The sequence below is a fragment of the Homo sapiens genome, chromosome 12 (assembly GCF_000001405.40).
Source record: "Homo sapiens chromosome 12, GRCh38.p14 Primary Assembly".
NCBI classification, from domain to species: Eukaryota; Metazoa; Chordata; class Mammalia; order Primates; family Hominidae; genus Homo; species Homo sapiens.
This window is the reverse complement of record NC_000012.12, coordinates 26,664,655-26,681,763: the sequence shown is the minus strand read 5'-3', so window position 1 is coordinate 26,681,763 and position 17,109 is coordinate 26,664,655. Positions and strand designations below refer to the sequence as shown.

The 17,109-nt window shown below is 38.1% G+C and overlaps 1 protein-coding gene across 8 annotated transcripts in view; it reads left to right on the top strand.

Moving 5' to 3' along the window:
• Positions 1-17,109, top strand: part of ITPR2 (inositol 1,4,5-trisphosphate receptor type 2) — a 497,843-nt gene that overhangs the window by 151,431 nt on the left and 329,303 nt on the right. For all 8 annotated transcript variants that reach the window (XR_001748686.3, XR_001748687.2, NM_001414174.1 and 5 more), the window contains one exon: positions 15,713-15,854. Coding sequence is in view for 6 of the 8 variants with exons in the window: in NM_001414174.1 (NP_001401103.1) it covers positions 15,713-15,854 (142 nt within the window). In the remaining 2 variants the exon portion in view is untranslated. The remainder of the gene's footprint in view (positions 1-15,712; positions 15,855-17,109) is intronic.

Genomic DNA, 17,109 nt, shown 5'->3' with positions numbered 1-17,109 from the left:
CACTTGCTTCTGAATGAGATGGGAACTTATTCCTCTTGATCATAGTGAGTGAGTGAAATTTGTCAGATTTAAATCTGTTGGAATATTTACTTGTCCCATTTTAGCTTTGCTTGAAAATAGTTGTTTTAAGTTACTTTCTGGTCATTCTTTTTTAAATCCTTTGTGAGAGATTTGCAATACCTTTTGCTGCGCATGATTTGATATTTGGATTTAGAGTTCTAAAGGACCTAAAGGAAGGTTTGTGTTTCTCTGATCTTATTTATTCAAGATGCATTTCTCAGCTCTGGTACCACAAAATAAACAGATATGTAAAACCAGAAAAAAAAAATCTGCAGGGTGTAGTTCTCTGCCCTCATACCTTGTTCAGAGAAACTGGAACCTTGATTCTTCAGCTCTGGTTTTGGAAATAAGTAAGAAAGAGAATGATATTGACAGCTAACGATTATTGCATGCCTGCTTTGTGTCACTTACTAGGTTGGGCACTGTAAATATATTTTATGTAATCCTTCAAATAGCCTTGAAATAGGTATTCCTGTTTTACATAAAGGAAAACTGACGAGGGTAAGCAAACAAGGTAAAGCTGCATAGTTAATACTAAGGGAGGATTCAGTCATGTATGGTTTAAAGTCCATATGCTTTGCAGTATGCCTAAGCACAAGCATCCTCTGTATTTCCTCTCTTCATGATCTACTACATGCCTTTTAATTTAAACAAGAAAAAGCTGTTTGCCAATTTCCCAGGCATTCAGACATTGGAGCTCTCATACACAGCTGGTGAGATGATAATTGATGTATGCACCTTGGAAAATAGTTTGGCAGTAACTAGCAAAATTAAAGAAGCAAACACCCCGTGACTCACCAATTCCACTCCCAGGCTGAACATTCTTGAACATCTGTCCAAAAGACTCTCCTCCACATGTGTACCAGGACACATGTTCAAGAATGTTCAGCTTTGTTTGAAATAACCCCAAATGGAAAACCATCCAAATGTCCATCACCAGTTGAATAGAGGATGAAAATTATGTTATTTTCATACAACAGAATACAGTTTTGCGATGAAAATAAATGAACTACATCTATGTGCAATGGCGTGGCTAAATTTAACAAATGGATTGGGTGAAAACTAGACACAACATTCTCTGATAAATCAGGTAACAAAATGTATTTGATTGATAGAATTTTGAAGTAAATGTGATTTTATCTATCAGTTTCTGAGTAACAAAGAGCACCAAGTTTTAATTTAAATAGGGGATTTAACACTAGGGATCAGGGAGTTTAGTTATGAAGAGTTAAAAAAATTTAAAAAACAGTGTAAGCTGTTGAAATGGCAAGTGAATTATTTTAATGATGTAATAAAATATTTTTAAATTTTGACATAGTGATCATTTAATGAAAAAACTCACCAAAATGTCTCCATTTGAATTGTATTGATAATGTGGGACATATGTGTAATTCAATATATACATATACCCATATGTATATACAGAAAATTATTTTTAATACTTTCCTACTGATATGAAATTTAAAATTGGAAATTTTGTGAGTGTTTTTCTTGTCCAATAGAGCCTGTTTCCTTTTTTTTTGGTGATTTAACAATCTCTTGAGGGCTGCACCTTTAAATTCCCAGATTGTCAATAGACATGTATAGTATATGGGATAAGGTGGACACAAGTGCACATATAAATAAAATCTTCTTAAGACTTTTAACTATTCATTTACAGTAGGAGAGTATGTAGAAATCATCATCCACAAGTCATAATTAGGTTGTGTGCCTACTGTAGTTTTTTCCATTTCTGTATTATATAAACATTTGCATATTAAAATTTGATTTTTCCCAGAGACAAGTATTATATACTGTATCTATATTTAAATCAAACTGTGGTAATATATTTCTCAGAAAATAATGTTGGGGACTATAGCCTGAACATTTGGACTTGAAGCGACATGGAGGAGGAGGTTGATCCCGTTGTGTATAAGTTAATATGTGATAACTATTGAATCTTGTACAAAAACAAAAATTGAAAAAGAAAAAAGAAAAGCAAAAATACAGTTTTTATTTTGAAATACAAAAAAATAAAAATAAAAAAGAAAACTAGACACAACAAAGACATTCACTGTAGTACTATGTGTGACATTCAAAAACAAGCAAAAACAAACTCCATTTCTTTGGGGGTGTTTAAGCAATTAGAAGAACCATAAAGAAATGCAAGGAAGTCATTGTGACAAAAAACAGGATGGTGTTTCTTCTTAGAGGGGAGGGAGGAATTATGCTCCCTGAAGGTTTGAAAGGCTCCTGCAGGGTCCCATTTCCTGCTCTTGGTGATGGCTTCATGGGATTCACTTTTCAGTAGTCCTTAGCTATATGTTTTAAAACCTTTTAGATATACATCTTACAATACAAAAGAACAAAAAATCCAAGTTTGCTTCCCTCCATCCCTGTCAATTAGAAAAAAATCCTAAATATGCAAACAAATGGAATAGCTGTTTCTCAGCTTCCTCTCTATTCTTACCTCTATTTTTTTCCCTGGCAAACTTACATTTCAAAACAACTATTGTATATTCAGTCGCACCTCCAACCCTGTTAGGGGAAATGAATAAAGGCCGGAAGCAGAAACAACTGGCCCACTTTTATGGGCTATAGACAAGTAAATATCAGAGCTAAATTATGGCAGGAAATGGATTCTGATGTGCAGATAGGAATTTTTATTTGCCTGTTATTGATCTAACTTTTCCTTTTGTGAATCTATTTCTTTGTTTCTAACACTCTTAGATATGCACAGCAATTTACTTGGCTTCACTTAAAAAGTCTCCCTTGCTAAGCATTAAGATATTCCTTGAAGAAAAGGACAGATAAAAATTCAGATTATGGTCTCTCCACCATTGCTGGCTGGAATCCTGTGCGAGTCACTCTTCTTCAGTCACAGCTGGAGATTATCTTAACCTCTCAAGATGATTCTAAGGAAGGTGGTGGACTAGGACTGACTAGAGAGCATGCATTTTTATTTCCTTTGCTTCTTTCCCTGCTGTTTTGGAGTGAAAAACGTTGTATTAATAGCAAAGAGAAGGCTTTGCCTAAGAAATATGAAGGTACAATTATTGATCTTAATTTAGTAATTTCAGAAAAGCCACCTCCCATCAAAATTCATTCAAAGCTGCCTGTCAGTAAGGTAGAGCTTATTGGCAGAGTTGAATGCATTTATATTATTTTCTCAGTTTTGGAATTGAATATAAAATTATTTCTGAAAATAACTGACAACTCTGACTTTTTTCCCCCTATGGAAAATGAAGTGATTATTATCTGTCTCAAAAAGCCTGTGTTGTTGGAATTTTTTTTTTCTCTCTCTCTCTCTCTGTCTTCCCTTTTTACTTATCCCAGGAATGAACATGAACCCTGGAAGTACAGTTCCTGTGTTATGCTTCAAGACCCTCAACATTAGATATTTTTCAATGGAATTTTCTAATCTTATTCTACATAATTGCACCCACAAAATAGAGAGGACTGGGAACATATTGTCAGGGATGGAGGAGGGAAGATGGAGGGGTGTTAACTGCCATCCAGAACTTGAGGAAGTGACACAGGCAGTCCCTGACCAGCATTTCTGCACTATGTTTACCTCTGAGGGTACACAAAATACTGGGGTTACTCTCAAACAGTGAGAGTTCAGAGATGTGATTAATTCAGTATTACTGAACTCCTGGTATGTGCCAGGCACTTGGCCATGCAGCATGGCTATATGTAGTGCTAATGTGGTGGTGAAGGCCACAGACTATCCCATGTCTCTGTGAAACTTACCCTCTCGAGGGATGGTTCTCATTCCCCATGATAGGAGCCCAGGATCTAGAATAGGGGTCATCCACCATGTGATCACCAGATCAGATGTCATTCTGATGTTGCTTCTCTGAGCAACATCATTTTCTCTTAAATTTTATTTGCCAGGTATGACTATCCTGACACCAGCAATCTTTTGTTTAATATTTGAAATGCCTGATGTCTCTTTTTCCATATCTTTTTAATTCAGATTTCCTGGTCATTTTGTTTTAGTTGTGTCTCTTATGAGCAGCAGAAGGTTGATTTGAAACAATCTAATCTGATAGTCTATTTTATTTATTTTTAAGGTTGATTGTAACAATCCAATCTGATAGTCTATTTTATTTATTTTTTTTTGAGAGAGGGTCTTGCTCTGTTGCCCAGGCTGGAGTGCAGTGGTATGATCATGGCTCACTGCAGCTTCAACCTCCTGTGCTCAGGTGATCCTCCCACCTCAGACTCCCGAGTAGCTGGGAACACAGGCACGTGCCACCACACCCAGCTAATTTTTTGGATTTTTCTAGAGACAGGGTTTCGCCGTGTTGCCCAGGCTAATCTGAAACTCCTGAGCTTAAGCAATCTACCTTTGTTGGCCTCCCAAAGTGCTGAGATTACAGACGTGAGCCACCGTGCCTGGCTGATAGTCTATTTTCATTTGCAAGTTTAATGACTTTGTATTTGACAAATTTATTTGAATGCATTTTTATTTTTGTTTTCTTTCTTTAGTGTAGCTTGTTTTCATTTCCTTTTACTTCTTTCTTGCTTTCTGCTAGATTAATAAAGTTTATATTCCCCTCCCACCCAATTTACTGTTTTCTCTACTGATTTAGAAGCTTTAGGTCATATTTTCATTCATTAGCAATTACCCTTGAATTCTTATCGTACATTTTGACCATATATTCTTCCTGATAAACTTGAAGTTACTATTATTTTCCCCCTCCCATGAAAGAAAAGTGCCGCGGCATGCTTTGGTTTTGCTCTGACATTCTCCCTCCCTTCTTTCTTGTAGTAGTTGTTTAGAACCTTAGTTCTGTGTTTATTCTCTTCATTTGTAAAATTTTAATTTGATAAATACAAAAGAATAAATGTGTCAATATAAATCATGATGCACCACCTTTTGTTTTTACTGATAAATTTTGTTCCTTTTTTTAAGACAAAGAAACATCTTTTTTTTACTTAAAACATTTATTTTATTTTTTTAATCTTATTTCACTAGTTTTTGAGGAGATAAATTTAGTTTCTAAAGTTTTTTTAGTGATTAATTATATTTTTTAAACAATTTTACCTCTTCTTCTGCCCCTTTCTTTACGTCTTCCTCCTGCCTTTATTACTTGTATCTCACTTGTTCTTTCTCTTTTCATCTTGCTGAAATTTATTCTTTAGTCCATTCAGTGGAGAGGCCTATGGGTTATAATCTTTTTAGGTTTTATGTATATGAAAATATCTTTATTTTGCCTTTACTCTTTTTTTTTTTTTTTTAGAGACAGAGTCTCACTCTGTCACCCAGGCTGGAATGCAGTGGCGTGATCTTGGCTCACTGCAACCTCCGCCTCGCAGGCTCAAGTGATTCTTTTGCCTCAGCCTCCCGAGTAGTTGGGATTATAGGCACCTGCCACCACATCTGGCTAATTTTTGTATTTTTAGTAGATACAGGGTTTCACCATGTTAGCCAGGATGGTCTCGAACTCCCGACCTCAGGTAATCTGCCTGCCTTAGCCTCCCAAAGTGCTGGGATTACAGGTATGAGCCACCATGCCCAGCCAGAATTTACTCTCAACATATTTCTTTTTTATTTTTTTGAGATAGAGTCTTGCTCTGTCGCCCAGGCTGGAGTGCAGTGGCACGATCTTGGCTCACTGCAATCTCCACCTCCTGGGTTCAAGCGATTCTCCTGCCTCAGCCTCCTGAGTAGCTGGGATTACAGGTGTGTGCCACCACACCTAGCTAATTTTTGTATTTTTGGTAGAGATGGGGTTTCACCATGTTGGCCAGGCTGGTGTTGAACTCCTGACCTCAGGTGATCTGCCCGCCTCTGCCTCCCAAAGTGCTGGGATTACAGGCGTGAGCCACTGCACTCTTGCCATTACTCTTAAGTGATACTTTATAGAGATGTTAGATTGATAATTACTTTCTATCTGTATTTTAAAGCTAAAATTTAATTATTTTCTAGCATCTCTTGTTGCTGTTAAGAAATCTGCTGTCAATAGACTTGTTATTCTTCACTGGTAATTTTTCTTGACTTGGTAATTTTTTTTTTATTATTATACTTTAAGTTTTAGGGTACATGTGCACAATGTGCAGGTTAGTTACATATGTATACATGTGCCATGCTGGTGCGCTGTACCCACTAACTCGTCATCTAGCATTAGGTATATCTCCCAATGCTATCCCTCCCCCCTTCCCCCACCCCACAACAGTCCCCAGAGTGTGATGTTCCCCTTCCTGTGAACATATGTTCTTATTGTTCAATTCCCACCTATGAGTAGAACATGTGGTGTTTGGTTTTTTGTTCTTGCGATAGTTTACTGAGAATGATGATTTCCAATTTCATCCATGTCCCTACAAAGGACATGAACTCATCATTTTTTATGGCTACATAGTATTCCATGGTGTATATGTGCCACATTTTCTTAATCCAGTCTATCATTGTTGGACATTTGGGTTGGTTCCAAGTCTTTGCTATTGTGAATAGTGCCGCAATAAACATGCATGTGCATGTGTCTTTATAACAGCATGATTTATAGTCCTTTGGGTATATACCCAGTAATGGGATGGCTGGGTCAAATGGTATTTGTAGTTCTAGATCCCTGAGGAATTGCCACACTGACTTCCACAATGGTTGAACTAGTTTACAGTCCCACCAACAGTGTAAAAGTGTTCCTATTTCTCCACATCCTCTCCAGCACCTGTTGTTTCTTGACTTTTTAATGATTGCCATTCTAACTGGTGTGAGATGATATCTCATTGTGGTTTTGATTTGCATTTCTCTGATGGCCAGTGATGGTGAGCATTTTTTCATGTGTTTTTTGGCTGCATAAATGTCTTCTTTTGAGAAGTGTCTATTCATGTCCTTTGCCCACTTTTTGATGGGGTTGTTTGTTTTTTTCTTGTAAATTTGTTGGAGTTCATTGTAGATTCTGGATATTAGCCCTTTGTCAGATGAGTAGGTTGCGAAAATTTTCTCCCATTTTGTGGGTTGCCTGTTCACTCTGATGGTAGTTTCTTTTGTTGTGCAGAAGCTCTTTAGTTGAATTAGATCCCATTTGTCAGTTTTGGCTTTTGTTGCCATTGCTTTTGGTGTTTTAGACATGAAGTCCTTGCCCATGCCTATGTCCTGAATGGTAATGCCTAGGTTTTCTTCTAGGGTTTTTATGATTTTAGGTCTAACGTTTATGTCTTTAATCCATTTTGAATTGATTTTTATATAAGGTGTAAGGAAGGGATCCAGTTTCAGCTTTCTACATATGGCTAGCCAGTTTTCCCAGCACCATTTATTAAATAGGGAATCCTTTTCCCATTGCTTGTTTCTCTCAGGTTTGTCAAAGATCAGATAGTTGTAGATATGCGGTGTTATTTCTGAGGGCTCTGTTCTGTTCCATTGGTCTATATCTCTGTTTTGGTACCAGTACCATGCTGTTTTGGTTACTATAGCCTTGTAGTATAGTTTGAAGTCAGGTAGCGTGATGCCTCCAGCTTTGTTCTTTTGGCTTAGGATTGACTTGGCGATGCAGGCTCTTTTTTGGTTCCATATGAACTTTAAAGTAGTTTTTTCCAATTCTGTGAAGAAAGTCATTGGTAGCTTGATGGGGATGGCATTGAATCTATAAATTACCTTGGGCAGTATGGCCATTTTCACGATATTGATTCTTCCTACCCATGAGCATGGAATGTTCTTCCATTTGTTTGTGTCCTCTTTTATTTCATTGAGCAGTGGTTTGTAGTTCTCCTTGAAGAGGTCCTTCACATCCCTTGTAAGGTGGATTCCTAGGTATTTTATTCTCTTTGAAGCAATTGTGAATGGGAGTTCACTCATGATTTGGCTCTCTGTTTGTCTGTTATTGTTGTATAAGAATGCTTGTGATTTTTGTACATTGATTTTGTATCCTGAGACTTTGCTGAAGTTGCTTATCAGCTTAAGGAGATTTTGGGCTGAGACAATGGGGTTTTCTAGATATACAATCATGTCATCTGCAAACAGGGACAATTTGACTTCCTCTTTTCCTAATTGAATACCCTTTATTTTCTTCTCCTGCCTAATTGCCCTGGCCAGAACTTCCAACACTATGTTGAATAGGAGTGGTGAGAGAGGGCATCCCTGTCTTGTGCCAGTTTTCAAAGGGAATGCTTCCAGTTTTTGCCCATTCAGTATGACATTGGCTGTGGGTTTGTCATAGATAGCTCTTATTATTTTGAGATACGTCCCATCAATACCTAATTTATTGAGAGTTTTTAGCATGAAGGGTTGTTGAATTTTGTCAAAGGCCTTTTCTGCATCTATTGAGATAGTCATGTGGTTTTTGTCTTTGGTTCTGTTTATATGCTGGATTACATTTAGTGATTTGCGTATATTGAACCAGCCTTGCATCCCAGGGATGAAGCCCACTTAATCATGGTGGATAAGCTTTTTGATGTGCTGCTGGATTTGGTTTGCCAGTATTTTATTGAGGATTTTTGCATCAATGTTCATCAAGGATATTGGTCTAAAATTCTCTTTTTTGGTTGTGTCTCTGCCCAGCTTTGGTATCAGGATGATGCTGGCCTCATAAAATGAGTTAGGGAGGATTCCCTCTTTTTCTATTGATTGGAATAGTTTCAGAAGGAATGATACCAGTTCCTCCTTGTATCTCTGGTAGAATTCGGCTGTGAATCCATCTGGTCCTGGACTCTTTTTGGTTGGTAAGCTATTGATTATTGCCACAATTTCAGCTCCTGTTATTGGTCTATTCAGAGCTTCTTCCTGGTTTAGTCTTGGGAGAGTGTATGTGTCAAGGAATTTATCCATTTCTTCTAGATTTTCTAGTTTATTTGCATAGAGGTGTTTGTAGTAATCTCTGATGGTAGTTTGTATTTCTGTGGGATCGGTGGTGATATCCCCTTTATCATTTTTTATTGCGTCTATTTGATTCTTCTCTCTTTTTTTCTTTATTAGTCTTGCTAGCAGTCTATCAATTTTGTTGATCCTTTCAAAAAACCAGCTCCTGGATTCATTGATTTTTTTGAAGGGTTTTTTGTGTCTATTTCCTTCAGTTCTGCTCTGATTTTAGTTATTTCTTGCCTTCTGCTAGCTTTTGAATGTGTTTGCTCTTGCTTTTCTAGTTCTTTTAATTGTGATGTTAGGGTGTCAATTTTGGATCTTTCCTGCTTTCTCTTGTGGGCATTTAGTGCTATAAATTTCCCTCTACACACTGCTTTGAATGTGTCCCAGAGATTCTGGTATGTTGTGTCTTTGTTCTCGTTGGTTTCAAAGAACATCTTTATTTCTGCCTTCATTTCGTTATGTACCCAGTAGTCATTCAGGAGCAGGTTTTTCAGTTTCCATGTAGTTGAGTGGTTTTGAGTGAGTTTCTTAATCCTGAGTTCTAGTTCGATTGCACTGTAGTCTGAGAGATAGTTTGTTATAATTTCTGCTCTTTTACATTTGCTGAGGAGAGCTTTACTTCCAACTATGTGGTCAATTTTGGAATAGGTGTGGTGTGGTGCTGAAAACAATGTATATTCTGTTGATTTGGGGTGGAGAGTTCTGTAGATGTCTATTAGGTCTGCTTGGTGCAGAGCTGAGTTCAATTCCTGGGTATCCTTGTTAACTTTCTGTGTCATTGATCTGTCTAATGTTGACAGTGGGGTGTTAACATCTCCCATTATTAATGTGTGGGAGTCTAAGTCTCTTTGTAGGTCACTCAGGACTTGCTTTATGAATCTGGGTGCTCCTGTATTGGGTGCATATATATTTAGGATAGTTAGCTCTTCTTGTTGAATTGATCCCTTTACCATTATGTAATGGCCTTCTTTGTCTGTTTTGATCTTTGTTGGTTTAAAGTCTGTTTTATCAGAGACTAGGATTGCAACCCCTGCCTTTTTTCGTTTTCCATTTGCTTGGTAGATCTTCCTCCATCCTTTTATTTTGAGCCTATGTGTGTCTCTGCACGTGAGATAGGTTGCCTGAATACAGCACACTGATGAGTCTTGACTCTTTATCCAATTTGCCAGTCTGTGTCTTTTAATTGGAGCATTTAGTCCATTTACATTTAAAGTTAATATTGTTATGTGTGAATTTGATCCTGTCATTATGATGTTAGCTAGTTATTTTGCTCGTTAGTTGATGCAGTTTCTTCCTAGTCTCGATGGTCTTTACATTTTGACATGATTTTGCAGCGGCTGGTACCAGTTGTTCCTTTCCATGTTTAGTGCTTCCTTCAGGACCTCTTTTAGGGCAGGCCTGGTGGTGACAAAATCTCTCAGCATTTGCTTGTCTGTAAAGTATTTTATTTCTCCTTCACTTATGAAGCTTAGTTTGGCTGGATATGAAATTCTGGGTTGAAAATTCTTTTCTTTAAGAATGTTGAATATTGGCCCCCACTGTCTTCTGGCTTGTAGAGTTTCTGCTGAGAGATCTGCTGTTAGTCTGATGGGCTTCCCTTTGTGGGTAACCCAACCTTTCTCTCTGGCTGCCCTTAACATTTTTTCCTTCATTTCAACTTTGGTGAATCTGATAATTATGTGTCTTGGAGTTGCTCTTCTTGAGGAGTATCTTTGTGGCGTTCTCTGTATTTCCTGAATCTGAATGTTGTCCTGCTTTGCTAGATTGGGGAAGTTCTCCTGGATAATATCCTGCAGAGTGTTTTCCAACTTGGTTCCATTCTCCCCGTCACTTTCAGGTACACCAATCAGACGTAGATTTGGTCTTTTCACATAGTCCCATATTTCTTGGAGGCTTTGTTCATTTCTTTTTATTCTTTTTTCTCTAAACTTCCCTTCTCGCTTCATTTCATTCATTTCATCTTCCATTGCTGATACCCTTTCTTCCAGTTGATCGCATTGGCTCCTGAGGCTTCTGCATTCTTCAGGTAGTTCTCGAGCCTTGGCTTTCAGCTCCATCGCTCCTTTAAGCACTTCTCTGTATTGGTTATTCTAGTTATACATTCGTCTAAATTTTTTTCAAAGTTTTTAACTTCTTTGCCTTTGGTTTGAATTTCCTCCTGTAGCTCGGAGTAGTTTGATCGTCTGAAGCCTTCTTCTCTCAACTCGTAAAAGTCATTATCCGTCCAGCTTTGTTCCATTGCTGGTGAGGAACTGCGTTCCTTTGGAGGAGGAGAGGTGCTCTGCTTTTTAGAGTTTCCAGTTTTTCTGCTCTGTTTTTTCCCCATCTTTGTGGTTTTATCTACTTTTGGTCTTTGATGATGGTGATGTACAGATGGGTTTTTGGTGTGGATGTCCTTTCCGTTTGTTAGTTTTCCTTCTAACAGACAGGACCCTCAGCTGCAGGTCTGTTGGAGTTTGCTAGAGGTCCACTCCAGACCCTGTTTGCCTGGGTATCAGCAGCGGTGTTTGTATAACAGCAGTTTTTCGTGAACCGTGAGTGCTGCTGTCTGATCGTTCCTCTGGAAGTTTTGTCTCAGAGGAGTACCCGGCCGTGTGAAGTGTCAGTCTGCCCCTACTGGGGGGTGCCTCCCAGTTAGGCTGCTCAGGGGTCAGGGGTCAGGGACCCACTTGAGGAGGCAGTCTGCCCGTTCTCAGATCTCCAGCTGCATGCTGGGAGAACCAATGCTCTCTTCAAAGCTGTCAGACAGGGACATTTAAGTCTGCAGAGGTTACTGCTGTCTTTTTGTTTGTCTGTGCCCTGCCCCCAGAGGTGGAGCCTACAGAGGCAGGCAGGCCTCCTTGAGCTGTGGTGGGCTTCACCCAGTTCGAGCTTCAGGCTGCTTTGTTTACCTAAGCAAGCCTGGGCAATGGCGGGCACCCCTCCCCCAGCCTCGCTGCCGCCTTGCAGTTTGATCTCAGACTGCTGCGTTAGCAATCAGCGAGACCCCATGGGCGTAGGACCCTCCCAGCCATGTGTGGGATGTAATCTCCTGGTGCGCCGTTTTTTAAGCCCGTCGGAAAAGCGCAGTACTCGGGTGGGAGTGACCCGATTTTCCAGGTGCTATCTTTCACCTCTTTCTTTGACTAGGAAAGGGAACTCCCTGACCCCTTGCGCTTCCTGAGTGAGGCAATGCCTCGCACTGCTTCGGCTCGCGCATGGTGCGCTGCACCCACTGACCTGCGCCCACTGTCTGGCACTCCCTAGTGAGATGAACCCGGTACCTCAGATGGAAATGCAGAAATCACCGGTCTTCTGCTTCACTCACGCTGGGAGCTGTAGACCCGAGCTGTTCCTATTCGGCCATCTTGGCTCCTCCCCCGACTTGGTAATTTTATAGATTATTTTTCTTTGCTTTTGATGTCTTAAGTTTCACCATGATGTGTTTACAAAGGAGTTTTATTTTTGTTTTTTCTCATTTGACACTTAAGGTATACTTTTAATCTGAATACTTATTTCTGCCTTCAATTCTTGGAAATTTTCAGCCGTTTTCCTGCAAATATTGCTTCTTTGTCTTTTTCCTCCTTTCTGTCTTTTGGAACTTTTATGAGATATATGTTGGATCCTCTTAATTCCTCTTCTTTCTCTCTTAACTTCCCTTTTATTATTTGCCTTTTAATAGTTCTCTTTGCTAGTATCTGGATCAATTTTTGATACTGCCTTATAGATTAATAATATTTTTAGAATGTATGTAGAATAATTTTCCTTCTTCAGTTAAATTTTTATTTAAATAATTATAATAATAATAATTTTTTTTTTGAGACAGGATCTTGCCCTGTCACCCAAGCTGGAATGCAGTGGTGCAATCACACAGCTCACTGCAGCCTTGACCTCCCAGGTTTCAGCAATTCCTCTTGCCTCAGCTGCCTGAGTAGCTGGGACCATAGGCGCATGCCACCTCACCAACTAATTTTTTAATTGTTTTGTGCAAACGGGTTTCACTATGTTGCCCTGGCTGATTTTGAACTCGGGCTCAAGCAATCCCCCTGCCTCAACCTCCCAAAATGCTGGGATTACAGGCATGAGCCACTGTGCTCAGCCTATAATTTTTATCTCTCAGATTTTTTTTTTTGGTATATCCACCTATTTTTCATTTATATTGGCCTTTTTAAAATACGTTGTCTTTTTAATATATTGCTTTGTTTATCTCTTTGAAGACTGAATACACACTCATTTAAAACTTATTTTGAAACTGTTTTGTTACTCGGATTTTGTTGATGGTGGAGTAGCCTCCTGATACTGTATGGTGGCTATCTTCCTCAATGTCAGCTTTCCTTATGTGCTTTGGACTTTTACTATGCATGATTTTCTTAGGTGGGAGATTTTTGTTTTTCCTTTCTCTACATTCACTTGTCTTCTCTATCAGTTTTATGCTTGCTTCTACCTGGCTTCCCTCAACTAGGCCAGAGCCAGATCTGATATCGAGAGCTGAGAGTCCATGTTCTCTGGTAATTTGAGACTTTAATCATGGAGATTGCTGGTGGCTGGGTCCAGCCCTATCCATGTGTATCTGTTGTTTCCTGCTACCACTGCACAGCCAAAGCCCAAATAAGGGCCACTGAACTTTAAGTTTTCTTTAAGAGGTTAGAGAAGCCATATGTTTGTCTCTGTTTTATATGTTTAGTTTATTTCCCTATCATGTGTTTTTGGTCCCTCTTACCTTGCAAGAGTTGAAATCATCCCTGTTCCTCACTGTGTTTTTCTTATTTTGTTCATTTTCCATAAAGCTTAAAAAGCAAATGCGTGAGCTAGTAGGAGCTACCCACTGCCCAGTATAGAATCAGAGTTTGATCTAAACTGAAAACAAACCAGCTTTTTTGTTTTGCCACAAAGGGGATGCTTGAGGTGCAAGGTCAAAAAAAGGTTTCAGCAGTTTCAGAGGTCAAAAGAGAAGGTTGCTTTTCCTGGCTTCCATGGCCTTGTCATGAAGAGGTGGGCTTTACATGTAGGGTTGACATGTGATTTGCAATCAAGACTGTTAATGTTCGTCGTCATCATTCCATTAACCGTCACCAATTTTCAGGGCATTTGAATGACTTTGAAACAGAGCGATCTGTAGTTGCTCACAAAATTTTACTTTCTTAGATATCTAAATATTTGATTATAGTTATTGAAACAGCAAGAGAAAAGGAATCTTACTAATTTAAAAAATAAAATACAAATATTTATGCTCAAACTGGACTTGCATTGGGCATATAGAAACTTAAGTTCAACTTTTTTTCATTTTGCTGAAGTAACCTCCGCTCCAAATTTGTTTTGTTTTGTTTTAAGAGCAACAGAATGATTTGGAGGACATTAAATCACAATTTCAAAAGAAGTTCACACCACATTTTGATGCACATGAAACGGGTTTTACGTTTCTGTGGCTGCCTTCAGAGATTACACGTAACTATGTCAGTGAATCCTGTCAGTTAGACACAATTTTCCAAAAGAAACAGACTGGGTTACAATTTAAAATAGGCATACCAAGAAAACATAGAATCCCAGGAATTTTGGAATGGAGTTTATGATCCCTGGAAGTATACTGAAATTTCTCTGGGTGACTAAATTATGGATTCTAGGTGTGTCCACTTGGCTGCAGGAAGTGCATTCTCTTTCAAGACATAAATCGGGAGATAGGATCAGGATGTTTTCTTACCAAAGGTATTGAAAGAGAAGAAAAGAGATGTTTTCCAACTGAATACATTCTATACTTTCCTGGAATTGTTGAAGCTCTTAAAATGTAGTTTTCTTATGAATGTATTCATGATTAGCATCATTGTATTCACATGCTAATAACAGTGAATAAAGATGCTAACACTATATGGATGAAGCTAATTTAACTGTTTATTGGTCAGCTTTTGTCTATACCAAAAAAAGTATGTGTTTATTGAGTAATTAAGTTGTACTTTACCATTAATACAATTTAAAAAATGCCTTGACCCTTCCAATACAGATTCCTCATCTGTTTACCCATTTTTGCAATAGCTTGAACCCCTGCCCCCTCCCTCAATCGACTAACACAAATGGAAAATGATAAAGAGCAGGCAGAGGAAGGAGGAGGAGAAAAGTGAAGAGAGGAAGGCTTTCAAGACATTTCCTGTACTACATGCCACTGAAGTTCAAGTAATAGTTGTAATAATAACCAAAATATAGATTTAAAAGTGAACATTGGTGTATGGTTTTAGAATTTCACGATTTTGATAGGTCATTTAATACTTCCAGTATTTTGAGTGTCAGATTGCTTACTCTGTCTCTATTCATAGGTCATTTAAGTTTTTCCTGTTCTGTACATTGGGCAAGTTGAAATGTGGCGAGGATTAGGAAATGTAGTTTAACAGTAAAAAAAGAAAGAAAAAGGATTGGAATTTAGGAATTTAGTATAGCTGTTTTCCCTTAAGCAGAAGTATGCTGCTTTGCTAGTCAGTTGTGGAAAGGCATCTGGTGGTGTCATCCTACCAACTCGTGTGCAGTTGCGACTCACATGGCTTTATTTGATAATAGTCTGCAAACGCTTGATGAGAACTGGAGGCGCAAGTAGAGATTGGAGATGCTGGAGAAGGAATTTTCTTTGTAAAGGCTTAGGTAAACAGTAACTGCCTTAGAGATTATCTTTTGTCAATTAAATACTTTTTTATTATAAAACACCTTGTTTTCAAGTGTTTCAGTTCTTATTATTTAATAAAAAGAAATTTCCATGGATTTGAGTTCCACTCCTGAAGAAAAAGTAAAAAAAAATCTATCTATCTATCTATCTATCTATCTCTACCTACCTACCTATCATCTATCTATACATTTTCCAAAATTAAGCACACTGTAAAGTAAAATTTCCTTTTCATTTTGTAATAGGTTTGTAACCAAATTATTGGAAGATCTCATATTCTTTGTTGCTGATGTGCCTAATAATGGACAAGAAGTTCTGGATGTGGTTATCACTAAGCCAAACCGAGAGCGTCAAAAATTGATGAGGGAACAAAACATACTGGCACAGGTGAATTTTTTCATGTACTAAATTTGTATATTTTATTTTCTGAATTACAGTATCAGGAAAGGCCTTGTATTAGTTATCTATTACTATGAAGCAAATGATCCCAAAACTTAGTGGCTGAAAACAAGATACTTCTTGTCTCACAGTTTCTGTGGAGTAGTGATCTAGGCGTGGCTTACATGGGCAGATCTCACTCAGGGTCTCTCACCAGGCTGCAGTCAAGGTGTTTGCTGGGGCTGCAGGCATCTCAAGGTTCAACTGAGAGAGGACTTGCCTTCCAGCCCTCTCACATAGGCATCTCTCAGGAGTGCCTCAAGACAAGGCAGCTTGCTTTCTTAGAACTGAGGGATCCAAGAGAGAACTAGAGAGGACGCTCAGGTAGAAGCTACCATCTTTGTAGAACGTAATCTTAGAAGTAACATCAGTTCTACTGTGTTCTATTAGTTAGAAATGGGTTAATAAATCTAACCCGTAGTTAAGGAGAGAGGATTCGATGAGGCTATGAATATCAGGAGGCAGGAATATCAGAGACCATTGTAGAGACAGCCTACCATGGACCTCCAAAAACCCTGCATAGTCAGACTATCTCCAGAAAATATGTTGGAAAAATTCCTAGGTAGAATTTCCAGGTGAACTTGGAAAGTGCCATCTCCATCTGCTTCCTACTTCTTTCCTTCTCTTCCCTGGGAAAGTAGGGCAGTCTGTTCATCAGCTCACGAGTGCTCTGTACAATATTCTAGTTTTCTTCCCTGAAAGTACAGAACTGCTCCTGTATTACATCTTCTTGAAATTGTTCATAACACGTCAGTAAATTGATTCACTTCCTAATGATATGCACATATGGACATGCCTACGTTTATGTATTATTTTTATTCTATTAATTGCTATTTAAATTAATGAGTTTCTTCATTAATGAAGTATAGACTCAAGGAAGATACTTAAAACATAAAAATCATGTTCTTGATACACATATTCTTATTGATTTGGGAAAGGAAAATAGTAGACATAATGTTAGTTATTATATGTAGCTGATTGTCTGAAAATACAAAATCAACTTTTTTCTCAAATAAAATAAAGGTTGCAAATCTAATAGGACTTTTTTCGAGTAATTATTATATAAAAAATTTGATTTCAAAGACTTTTAGGACCTTGGATAATTAATTAATAATATTTTAACCAACATATGTCAAATATTTTATTTTTGTTTGATAAATATAAAATTAAAGGCTTAGTGAATACAAAATTATTAAAGAAACTT